The sequence below is a fragment of the Homo sapiens genome, chromosome 15 (genome assembly GCF_000001405.40).
Source record: "Homo sapiens chromosome 15, GRCh38.p14 Primary Assembly".
In the NCBI taxonomy this organism is placed as follows: Eukaryota; Metazoa; Chordata; class Mammalia; order Primates; family Hominidae; genus Homo; species Homo sapiens.
This window is the reverse complement of record NC_000015.10, coordinates 27188482-27201128: the sequence shown is the minus strand read 5'-3', so window position 1 is coordinate 27201128 and position 12647 is coordinate 27188482. Positions and strand designations below refer to the sequence as shown.

Below are 12647 nucleotides of genomic sequence, written 5' to 3'. Positions count from 1 at the left end.
TGAGAAATCAAAGCAGACACCATTATCCAAGCAGACAAGGGCTAAACACAAATATTCTGCTCTATTTCTTTCCCCAACTCTACATTTGTTCGGATTAATGGAGACTATTCCAGAGGCAGGGCATGGAGAAGGCTGAGTATCTGTACACAGAATGCAGACATGCTGTTCTTTGTGTCTCATGAAGTATGGATGAGCTAAAAAGCTGAAGACAGCTCAAAGCAGCCAGGAGGGCAGGCAGCCTCAGTAAAAAATTTGTAGTGAAGAAAATCTCGAGGCCTTAAATAAGGACTTCTGTCAGAAGTGAAGACTGTAACCCACGGGTAGCACACCTGGGCTCGAGTCCACCCCGAGGCCAGCTTTTGTGAGTAAAATGTTATTGAGACATCACCATACCCATCATTGCACATAAGTTACAGCTGCTTTCACTGCCTGGCCGTAGTAGGTACCATAGAAATCCGCTGGTCCACACGTCCCAAGGATTTATTATCTAGCCCCTTACAGAAAAACTTTGCCAACTTGCTCCTCTAAGAGGTGAAAAGGGTCACTTTGCCTGTGCCAGAAAATGAGCTCCGTGAAGGAGGGGTCTGTCCCTGCTGTATTCAGTAATGTGTCTGGGGCACCTGGAGAGGCGAGGTTGCATGCAGCACCTAACACACGGAAGGAACAGCCTGCATTCTTGATTCAAAGGCCCACCCAGGAAACACACAGATGAGGTTCTCATTTTACTTCATGTAAAACTCCCAAAAGGAAGCATATATTTTAAGAGTGAAGAATGAGAAGGTAGTGTTTCTAATATGGCTCATGGAATTCCACCTCTGTAATAGACAGAAGATTTAGGGTGAGTGTGACAGCCATGCCTGCCCCCACATAAACTAAATTTAAAGTTAACAGGTCAACAGCTGCACAGAGGCAATGTCAATCAATAAACATTACTGGTCTATACCCACTACAACTTATTTCTTTTAGTGGCCACAGAGCAGCTGGTAAACAATCCTACTTGTTGCTTTGTTTTACTTTTTGTTTGGAAGAGGCAGAGGCAAAGCTTTAGGATTCTGGAAAGAAAGGAAGGAAAGAAGGAAGAGAGAAAGGGAGGGAGAAAGTAAGGGAGGAAGGAAAGGAGAAAGCTAGGAAGAGAGGAGTAGAGGGAGGAAGGAAGGGAAAGAGAGAATGATGACAGGAAAGAGAGAAGGATGAAGGGAAAGAGAAATGGCTGAAGGGAAAGAGGGAAGGAAGGAAGCAGGGAGGGAGGAAGAAAGAAAAAAAAAGACAAAACAAAATACAAACCAGCCACAAAAATTTAAAGGGTAAGTTTCTTAGTCCATTTTGCATTGCTATAAAGAAATATCTGAGACTAGGTAATTAATACGAAGAAAAGGTTTATTTGGTTTATGGTTCTACAAGGCACTGGCATCTGCTTGGCTTCTGGTGAGGCCTTGGGAAACTTTTACTCATGGTGGAAAGGAAGGGGGAGCAGGCACATCAGCTGGCGAGAGGGAGCAAGAGAGATGCCAGGCTCTTCTAATTAACCAGCTCTCTCGTAAACTCATAGAACAAGAATTCACCCATTACCACTGGGAGGACACCAAGCCCTTCATGAGGGATCCACCTCCATGACCCAAACACCTCTGACGAGGCCCCTGGCGATCACATTCAGCATGAGATTTGGAAGGGACAGATATCCAAACTACACCAGTGGATGTAGTTTGGGCTAGAGTCCTCACCCTCCCAGTGGGGAACACATTCTCTTTCGCTCATACTCCATCAAACGGGAATCAAGTTAATCCTAGCATTGAGAAATATTCTGGGAAATGTTGTTTTGTTGCAGTAAGGAACAAATTCATTTAAAAGAAAAGTGCATCCCGTCCAGGACCAGACTCATATAATGGCTATCCTAACAACACAATAAAAAACAAAGCAGTCTGTCAATACGTGGTTCGTTTGTTCCAGTAACCTTTGGCTCTATTTTTCCTTAATTCTTTCGTTTTTATATGCTTAAGTTCTGGGATACATGTGCAGAACGTGCAGGTTTGTTACACAGGTATACATATGCCATGGTGGTTTGCTGCACCCATCAACCCATCATCTACATTAGGTATTTCTCCTAATGCTATCCCTCCCCTTGTCCCCCAACCCCCAAAAGGCCCCAGTGTGTGATGTTCCCCTCTCTGTGCCCATAGGTTCTCATTGTTCAACTCCCACTTAGGAGTGAGAACATGCGATGTTTAGTTTTCTGTTCTTGTGTTAGTTTGCTGAGAATGATGGTTTCCAGCTTCATCCATGTCCCTGCAAAGGACATAAACTCATTCTTTTTATAGCTGCACAGTATTCCACGGTGTATATATGCCACATTTTCTTTATCCAGTCTATCATTGATGGGCATTTGGGTTGGTTCCAAGTCTTTGCTATCGTGAATAGTGCTGCAATAAACATACATGTGCATGTATCTTTATAGCAGAATTATTTATAATACTTTGGGTGTATACCCAGTAATGGGATTGCTGGGTCAAATGGTATTTCTGCTTCTAGATTCTTGAGGAATCACCACACTGTCTTCCACAATGGTTGAACTAATTTACACTCCCACCAACAGTGTAAAAGCATTCCTATTTCTCCACATCCTCTCCAGCATCTATTATTTCCTGACATTTTAATGATCACCATTCTAACTGGCTTGAGATGGTACCACATTGTGGTTTTGATTTGCATTTCTCTAATGACCAGTGATGATGATCTTTTTTTCATATGTTTTTTGGCCACACAAATGTCTTCTTTTGAAAGATGTCTGTTCATATCCTTCGCCCACTTTTTGATGGGGTTGTTTTTTTCTTGTAAATTTGTTTAAGTTCCTTGTAGATTCTGGATATTAGCCCTTTGTCAGATGGATAGACTGCAAAAGTTTTCTCCCATTCTGTAGGTTGCCTGTTCACTCTGATGGTAGTTTCTTTTGCTGTGCAGAAGCTCTTTAGTTTAATTAGATCCCATTTGTCAATTTTGGCTTTTGTTGTCATTGCTTTTGGTGTTTTAGTCATGAAGTCTTTGCCCATGCCTATGTCCTGAATGGTATTACCTAGGAGCTGGATTTTTGAAAAGATTGACAAAATAGATAGACCGCTAGCCAGACTAATAAAGATGAAAAGAGAGAAGAATCAGACACAAGAAAAATAATAAAGGGGATATCACTACTAATCCCACAGAAATACAAACTACCACCAGATAATACTATAAACACTTCTACACAAATAAACTAGAAAATCTAGAAGAAATGGATAAATTCCTGGACACACACATCCTCCCAAGACTAAACCAGGAAGAAGTCTACTCCCTGAATAGACCAATAACAAGTTCTGAAATTGAGGCAGTAATTAATAGCCTACCAACCAAAAAAAGCCCAGGACGAGACAGATTCACAGCCAAGTTCTACCAGAGGTACAAGCAGGAGCTGGTACCATTCCTTCTAAAACTAAGCCAAGCAATATTTATCCTTAATTCTTTCTTTTGAGACAGTTTACAAAAAAAACGCACGTGCAATGTTTACTTCTAAATGCACCGCTCAACATCACCCCAACCCTAAGAACATCAACCCTGAAGGCCGCTGCCTCCAGGGCTCATGCAGTGGCTCTCTCATTCACATGGTACTGATGATAAAAAAAAAAAAAAAATAGCCGTTAAAGGAAATAGAGTGGGGGCTTAAGTTGCTATGGAGAGTGCCATTAGTATTCTCAAAAGCCCTTCTGTGAACATAAACTTCTTCTTGCTCACATAATGGATCAAAAAGGCAAGTTTCATCATGAAAGCTGTTTGGGGCAGAAGCGGGTAGCTAACATTGAATTTTAAATGAAAAGTATATTTCAGTCTTTGGTCTAGAATTTTCATATAAGTACAGATGCTCCTTGACTTCTGATGCAGATATGTCCCGATAAATCCATCATAAGTCCAAAGTATCAGGAATCCAAAACGCATTTAGTACACCAATCAACCCATGATTAAATAAAAAAAATCACAATTCAAATCAGCATAAATCAGGGCCTATCTGTAGATATCTGGGAGGAATGAGAAGGATCGTTCTATCCATTCCTTCTCACACCCTGTGCTTTTAACGTTGCAGAGTGTGACATCCGCCTTTTATTACTTAATAGAGCTGTGTGCTCTTGGGCTATTTGTTTCACCTCACTGGGCCTCACTCTAAAGCATGGCAATAATACTAAATACTGGCAACAGCAGCAACTACATCACCTACTGAATGCTCACTGTGCACAGCACCTCATGCTGAGAGCTCTTATGCATTACCTTCTTTAGGCTTCACAACAATCCTGAGGCTACTGCCCATATTTCAGGAGGAAGAGCTACGATCCAGATGGGATTTGTACCTGGGGCTGACAACCGCAGATCCCAAAGTCTTAACTTCTTTGTGCGTCTGTTACTTCATTGGATTACCATGAAGATTAATTAAATGTTGTCTATTAGGACATAACACAGTGCCTGCCACAGAGGATCCAAGTAGGAATTATTATTAAATTACATAATAAGGTCTTCCTATAAATATACTGATCTGTGAGGTTTTCACTTGGAAAGGAGAAAAGGCAGAGAGGCAGTTTAGAGCATATTTTAGAAACAAGAGCCCTTAATTCCCTGGGGAGGAGGTTATACATAATTTGATAGGCAAAAAAGACACTTCGGCATTTTAAGCAAAGAAATGGCAAGGCTGAGCCCTGGGAGAGTTCCCAGCAGCTCACAGCGAGCACAGTTTGAGCAGACAGCAAGTCGGGCAGGGGCCTGGAGAGAGAGAGAGCAGGAACAGGAGGGCTCTGGGAGGGCTGAGGGGAGCAGGGGAGCAAGGTCTTGGTGATACTCAAACATGAAGGATGCCTAACACTGGTATAAGGAAGAGGGTGTTATTTATAAGAAGAGGAAATCAGACAAAAGAGCTGACCAGGAATGTATAAGCAGGGCTAGGATGGAGCTGAAATGCCACTGGACTCATCTGCAATGAGACATCGGGTTACTGCTCCACTCTTGCAAGGGTGGTGTCAGTGGGGCTGAAGGGATGCTGAGCATTCACTGCCATGTGGCCTTCCAACTACACCTCCAAGGGAAGATGCCTGTGAAAAAAGTATATACAGAATCCAGAGTCTCATAATATCCCAAATCTTCAGTCTACAATAGAAAATTACCCATCATGCTGGCTGGGTGCGGTGGCTGGGTGCGGTGGCTGATGGCTGTAATCCCAGCACCTTGGGAGGCTGAGACAGGCAGATCACTTGAGACCAGGAGTTTGAGGCCAGCCTGGCCAAAATAGTGAAACCCCGTCTCTACTAAAAATACAAAAATTAGCCAGGCATGGTGGTGGGCACCTGTAATCCCAGCTACACAGGAGGCTGAGGCAGGAGAATCACTTGAACCTGGGAGGCAGAGGTTGCAGTGAGCTGAGATCATGCCACTACACTCCAGCCTAGAGAACAGAGTGAGACTCTTTCTCAAAAACAAAAACAAAACAAACAAACAAAAACATGGCCAGGCATGGTGGCTCACCCAGGAATTTGGGAGGCCAAGGCGGGCAGATCATGAGGTCAAGAGATTGAGACTATCCTGGCCAACATGGTGAAAACCTGTCTCTACTAAAAATACAAAAATTAGCTGGGCGTGGTGGTGCATGCCTGTAGTCCCAGCTACTCAGGAGGCTGAGGCAGGAGAATCGCTTGAACCTGGGAGGCAAAGGTTGCAGTGAGCTGAGACTGCACCACTGCACTCCAGCCTGGTGACAGAGTGAGACAGATGGACAGACAGAGAGAAAGAGAGAAAGAAAGAAAGAGAGGGAGAGAAAGAGAAAACAAATTACTCATCATGCCCAGAACCAGAAAGTCACAAGATGCATGGAAAAGAAGATTGACAGATGCCAACATCAAGATGATACAGATGCTGAAATTGTCGGACAAGGATTTTAAAGCAGTTGTCATAAAAATGCTTCAACAAGCAGTTATTCATTCTCTTGAAAGAAATTCCTGAAAGAAATTCCTAAATGAAAAAGCTCAGAAAATAACTAAATGAAAACACAATTTTTAAAAACTCACTGGATGAGCTTAATAGTGAGGATGCCACAAAACAGACTGTATAGAATTGAGGACAGATTAAAATTATTTTACCTAATCTAAACCACAAAGACAAAGTAGATTGTAAAATAAATAATAAACAAACAAACATTCTCAGGGAACTAGTACGACAATTTCAAAAGAGTTAACTTTTATACTGTCAGAATTTTGGAAGGAGAAGAGAGAGAGAGGATTGAAACACTATTGGAAGTATTGCAAGAAATAATGGCTGAAAACTTCTGAAACTTGGAGAAAGATATAAGCCTACATATTCAAGAGGCTAAGCAAACCTCGAGTAAAATAAACCCAACAAAATCCATACTCAGAAATATCATCATGAAAAATAAGGTAAAAAATCTTAAAAGCAGCCAGAGAGAAATAACACATTGCATATAGGTTTAAAAAATGCAAATGATAACACACTTCTCATCTAAAACCATGAATGCTAGAAGGAAATTGGACAATATATTTCAAGTGCTGAAAGTAAAGAGCTGTCAACTATGAATTCTACATTTAGTAGAAATACCTCTAGAAATAAAGGACAAATAAAAACACTCTCAGCCAAAGAACTATCAAGCAAATTTGTGCCTAGGAAATATCCCTTAAGGAGTTGCTAAAGGAAGTTCTCTAAACTGAAAGGACATGACAATAAAGGAAGGTTTGGAACTTCACAAAAGAAAGAAGAGTATGGAAATATGTAAGAGTAAGGATAAAAATATAATTGACAATCCATCTTTACATGAGTTTCTAAAACAGCATTTGATGGTTGAATCATAACACCATCTGATGTTGTGCTCAACGTATATACAGGAAATACCTAAGATAATTATATTCAAAAGGCAAGGAGAAACTAGGGAACTAAATGAAAGTAAAGTTTCTACACATTACTTAATGTGGTAAAACATTGAGACTGTTATAATTTAATTATGTATGTATTTATTCTTACAGTAACCATGAAGAAAATCATACAAAACAAAATATTGAAAGACATTATAAATAAGTTAAGATTAAATTCTAAAAACTATTCAAGTAATCCATGTGAAAACAAGTAAAAAGAAACAGGAATGAGAGACAGAGAAAACAAACATTATAATGGCAACTAGAATGCAAGTATCTCCTAATATATTAATAACTACCTTAAATGTAAACAGCTTAAATTAACATCGAAGCGGGGGAGGAGCCAAGATGGCCGAATAGGAACAGCTCCAGTCTACAGCTCCCAGCGTGAGCGACGCAGAAAACGGGTGATTTCTGCATTTCCATCTGAGGTACCGGGTTCATCTCACTAGGGAGTGCCAGACAGTGGGCGCAGGTCAGTGGGTGCAGCGCACCGTGCACAAGCCGAAGCAGGGAGAGGCATTGCCTCACTCGGGAAGTGCAAGGGGTCAGGGAGTTCCCTTTCCTAGTCAAAGAAAGGGGTGACAGACAGCACCTGGAAAATCGGGTTACTCCCACCCGAATACTGCACTTTTCCCAAGGGCTTAAAAAACGGCGCACCAGGAGATTATATCCTGCACCTGGCTCGGAGGGTCCTACGCCCACGGAGTCTCGCTGATTGCTAGCACAGCAGTCTGAGATCAAACTGCAAGGCGGCAGTGAGGCTGGGGGAGGGGCGCCCGCCATTGCCCAGGCTTGCTTAGGTAAACAAAGCAGCCGGGAAGCTAGAACTGGGTGGAGCCCACCACAGCTCAAGGAGGCCTGCCTGCCTCTGTAGGCTTCACCTCTGGGGGCAGGGCACAGACAAACAAAAAGACAGCAGTAACCTCTGCAGACTTAAATGTCCCTGTCTGACAGCTTTGAAGAGAGCAGTGGTTCTCCCAGCACGCAGCTGGAGATCTGAGAACGGGCAGACTGCCTCCTCATGTGGGTCCCTGACCCCTGACCCCTGAGCAGCCTAACTGGGAGGCACCCCCCAGTAGGGGCAGACTGACACCTCACACGGCCGGATACTCCTCTGAGACAAAACTTCCAGAGGAACGATCAGACAGCAGCATTCGCGGTTCACGAAAAACCACTGTTCTGCAGACACCGCTGCTGATACCCAGGCAAACAGGGTCTGGAGTGGACCTCTAGCAAACTCCAACAGACCTGCAGCTGAGGGTCCTGTCTGTTAGAAGGAAAACTAACAAACAGAAAGGACATCCACACCAAAAACCCATCTGTACATCACCATCATCAAAGACCAAAAGCAGATAAAACCACAAAGATGGGGAAAAAACAGAGCAGAAAACCTGGAAACTCTAAAAAGCAGAGCACCTCTCCTCCTCCAAAGGATCACAGTTCCTCACCAGCAATGGAACAAAGCTGGACGGAGAATGACGAGTTGAGAGAAGGAGGCTTCAGATGATCAAACTATGAGCTACAGGAGGAAATTCAAACCAAAGGCAAAGAAATTAAAAACTTTGAAAACAATTTAGACGAATGTATAACTAGAATAACCAATACAGAGAATTGCTTAAAGGAGCTGATGGAGCTGAAAACCAAGGCTCAAGAACTACGTGAAGAATGCAGAAGCCTCAGGAGCCAATGCGATCAACTGGAAGAAAGGGTATCAGCGATGGAAGATGAAATGAATGAAATGAAGCGAGAAGGGAAGTTTAGAGAAAAAAGAATAAAAAGAAACGAACAAAGCCTCCAAGAAATACGGGACTATGTGAAAAGACCAAATCTACGTCTGATTGGTGTACCTGAAAGTGACAGGGAGAATGGAACCAAGTTGGAAAACACTCTGCAGAATATTATCCAGGAGAACTTCCCCAATCTAGCAAGGCAGGCCAACGTTCAGATTCAGGAAATACAGAGAACGCCACAAAGATACTCCTTGAGAAGAGCAACTCCAAGACACACAATTGTCAGATTCACCAAAGTTGAAATGAAGGAAAAAATGTTAAGGGCAGCCAGAGAGAAAGGTCGGGTTACCCTCAAAGGGAAGCCCATCAGACTAAAGCGGATCTCTCGGCAGAAACTCTACAAGCCAGAAGAGAGTGGGGGCCAATATTCAACATTCTTAAAGAAAAGAATTTTCAACCCAGAATTTCATATCCAGCCAAACTAAGCTTCATAAGTGAAGGAGAAATAAAATACTTTACAGACAAGCAAATGCTGAGAGATTTTGTCACCACCAGGCCTGCCCTAAAAGAGCTCCTGAAGGAAGCACTAAACATAGAAAGGAAAAACCGGTACCAGCCACTGCAAAATCATGCCAAAATGTAAAGACCATCGAGACTAGGAAGAAACTGCATCAACTAGCGAGCAAGATAACCAGCTAACATCATAATGACAGGTTCAAATTCATACATAACAATATTAACTTTAAACGTAAATGGACTAAATGCTCCAATTAAAAGACACAGACTGGCAAACTGGATAAAGAGTCAAGACCCATCATCAGTGTGTTGTATTCAGGAAACCCATCTCACATGCAGAGACACACATAGGCTCAAAATAAAAGGATGGAGGAAGATCTACCAAGCAAATGGAAAACAAAAAAAGGCAGGGGTTGCAATCTTAGTCTGATAAAACAGACTTTAAACTAACAAAGATCAAAAGAGACAAAGAAGGCCATTACATAATGGTAAAGGGATCAATTCAACAAGAAGAGCTAACTATCCTAAATATATATGCACCCAATACAGGAGCACCCAGATTCATAAAGCAAGTCCTGAGTGACCTACAAAGAGACTTAGACTCCCACGCAGTAATAATGGGAGACTTTAACACCCCACTGTCAACATTAGACAGATCAATGAGACAGAAAGTCAACAAGGATACCCAGGAATTCAACTCAGCTCTGCACCAAGCTGACCTAATAGACATCTACAGAACTCTCCACCCCAAATCAACAGAATATACATTTTTTTCAGCACCACACACCTATTCCAAAATTGACCACATACTTGGAAGTAAAGCTCTCCTCAGCAAATGTAAAAGAACAGAAATTATAACAAAACTATCTCTCAGACCACAGTGCAATCAAACTAGAACTCAGGATTAAGAAATTCACTCAAAACTGCTCAACTACATGGAAACTGAACAACCTGCTCCTGAAATGACTACTGGGTACATAACGAAATGAAGGCAGAAATAAAGATGTTCTTTGAAACCAACGAGAACAAGCACGACATATCAGAATCTCTGGGACACATTCAAAGCAGTGTGTAGAGGGAAATTTACAGCACTAAATGCCCACGAGAGAAAGCAGGAAAGATCCAAAATTGACACCCTAACATCACAATTAAAAGAACTAGAAAAGCAAGAGCAAACACATTCAAAAGCTAGCAGAAGGCAAGAAATAACTAAAATCAGAGCAGAACTGAAGGAAATAGAGACACAAAAAACCCTTCAAAAAATTAATGAATCCGGGAGCTGGTTTTTTGAAAGGATCAACAAAATTGATAGACCGCTAGCAAGACTAATAAAGAAAAAAAGAGAGAAGAATAAAATAGATGCAATAAAAAATGATAAAGGGGATATCACCACTGATCCCACAGAAATACAAACTACCATCAGAGAATACTACAAACACCTCTACGCAAATAAACCAGAAAATCGAGAAGAAATGGATAAATTCCTCAACACATACACTCTCCCAAGACTAAACCAGGAAAAAGTTGAATCTCTGAATAGACCAATAACAGGAGCTGAAATTGTGGCAATAATCAATAGCTTACCAACCAAAAAGAGTCCAGGACCAGATGGATTCACAGCCGAATTCTACCAGAGGTACAAGGAGGAACTGGTGCCATTCCTTCTGAAACTATTCCAATCAACAGAAAAAGAGGGAATCCTCCCTAACTCATTTGATGAAGCCAGCATCATCCTGATACCAAAGCCCAGCAGAGACACAACCAAAAAAGAGAATTTTAGACCAGTATCCTTGATGAACATTGATGCAAAAATCCTCAATAAAACACTGGCAAACCGAATCCAGCAGCACATCAAAAAGCTTATCCACCATGATCAAGTGGGCTTCATCCCTGGGATGCAAGGCTGGTTCAATATACACAAATCTATAAATGTAATCCAGCATATAAACAGAACCAAAGACAAAAACCACATAATTATCTCAATAGATGCAGAAAAGGCCTTTGATAAAATTCAACAACACTTCATGCTAAAAACTCTCAATAAATTAGGTATTGATGGGACGTATCTCAAAATAATAAGAGCTATCTATGACAAACCCACAGCCAATATCATACTGAATGGGCAAAAACTGGAAGCATTCCCTTTGAAAACTGGCACAAGACAGGGATGCCCTGTCTCACCACTCCTATTCAACATAGTGTTGGAACTTCTGGCCACGGCAATTAGGCAGAAGGAAATAAAGCGTATTCAATTAGGAAAAGAGGAAGTCAAATTGTCCCTGTTTGCAGACGACATGACTGTATATCTAGAAAACCCCACTGTCTCAGCCCAAAATCTCCTTAACCTGATAAGCAACTTCAGCAAAGTCTCAGGATACAAAATCAATGTACAAAAATCACAAGCATTCTTATACACCAATAACAGACAAACAGAGAGCCAAATCATGAGTGAACTCCCATTCACAATTGCTTCAAAGAGAATAAAATACCTAGGAATCCACCTTACAAGGGACGTGAAGGACCTCTTCAAGGAAAACTATAAACCACTGCTCAATGAAATAAAAGAGGATACAAAGAAATGGAAGAACATTCCATGCTCATGGGTAGGAAGAATCAATATCGTGAAAATGGCCATACTGCCCAAGGTAATTTATAGATTCAATGCCATCCCCATCAAGCTGCCAATGACTTTCTTCACAGAATTGGAAAAAACTACTTTAAAGTTCATATGGAACCAAAAAAGAGCCCGCATCGCCAAGTCAATCCTAAGCCAAAAGAACAAAGCTGGAGGCATCATGCTACCTGACTTCAAACTATACTACAAGGCTACAGTAACCAAAACAGCATGGTACTGGTACCAAAACAGAGATATAGATCAATGGAACAGAACAGAGCCCTCAGAAACAACGCCATATATCTACAACTATCTGATCTTTGACAAACCTGAGAAAAACAAGCAATGGGGAAAGGATTCCCTATTCAATAAATGGTGCTGGGAAAACTGGCTAGCCATATGTAGAAAGCTGAAACTGGATCCCTTCCTTACACCTTATACAAAAATCAATTCAAGATGGATTAAAGACTTAAACGTTAGACCTAAAACCATAAAAACCCTAGAAGAAAACCTAGGCTTTACCATTCAGGACATAGGCATGGGCAAGGACTTCATGTGTAAAACACCAAAAGCAATGGCAACAAAAGCCAAAATTGACAAATGGGATCTAATGAAACTAAAGAGCTTCTGCACAGCAAAAGAAACTACCATCAGAGTGAACAGGCAACCCACAAAATGGGAGAAAATTTTCACAACCTACTCATCTGACAAAGGGCTAATATCCAGAATCTACAATGAACTCAAACAAATTTACAAGAAAAAAACAAACAACCCCATCAAAAAGTGGGCAAAGGACATGAACAGACACTTCTCAAAAGAAGACATTTATGCAGCCAAAAAACACATGAAAAAATGCTCATC

General features: G+C 41.4%; 1 protein-coding gene across 2 annotated transcripts in view, besides 1 other annotated feature; it reads right to left on the bottom strand.

Annotated features, from left to right (window-relative positions):
* Positions 1 to 12647, bottom strand: part of GABRG3 (gamma-aminobutyric acid type A receptor subunit gamma3) — a 570804-nt gene that overhangs the window by 340856 nt on the left and 217301 nt on the right. The gene's annotated exons all lie outside the window — the stretch shown is intronic.
* Positions 7514 to 8015: an enhancer, noted in NCBI's record as "H3K4me1 hESC enhancer chr15:27438261-27438762 (GRCh37/hg19 assembly coordinates)". NCBI's record gives its function as "activates a minimal SCP1, AML or CMV promoter by ChIP-STARR-seq in primed H9 embryonic stem cells {active_cell/tissue: H9 hESC(primed)}" and the evidence as "EXISTENCE:reporter gene assay evidence [ECO:0000049][PMID:30033119]".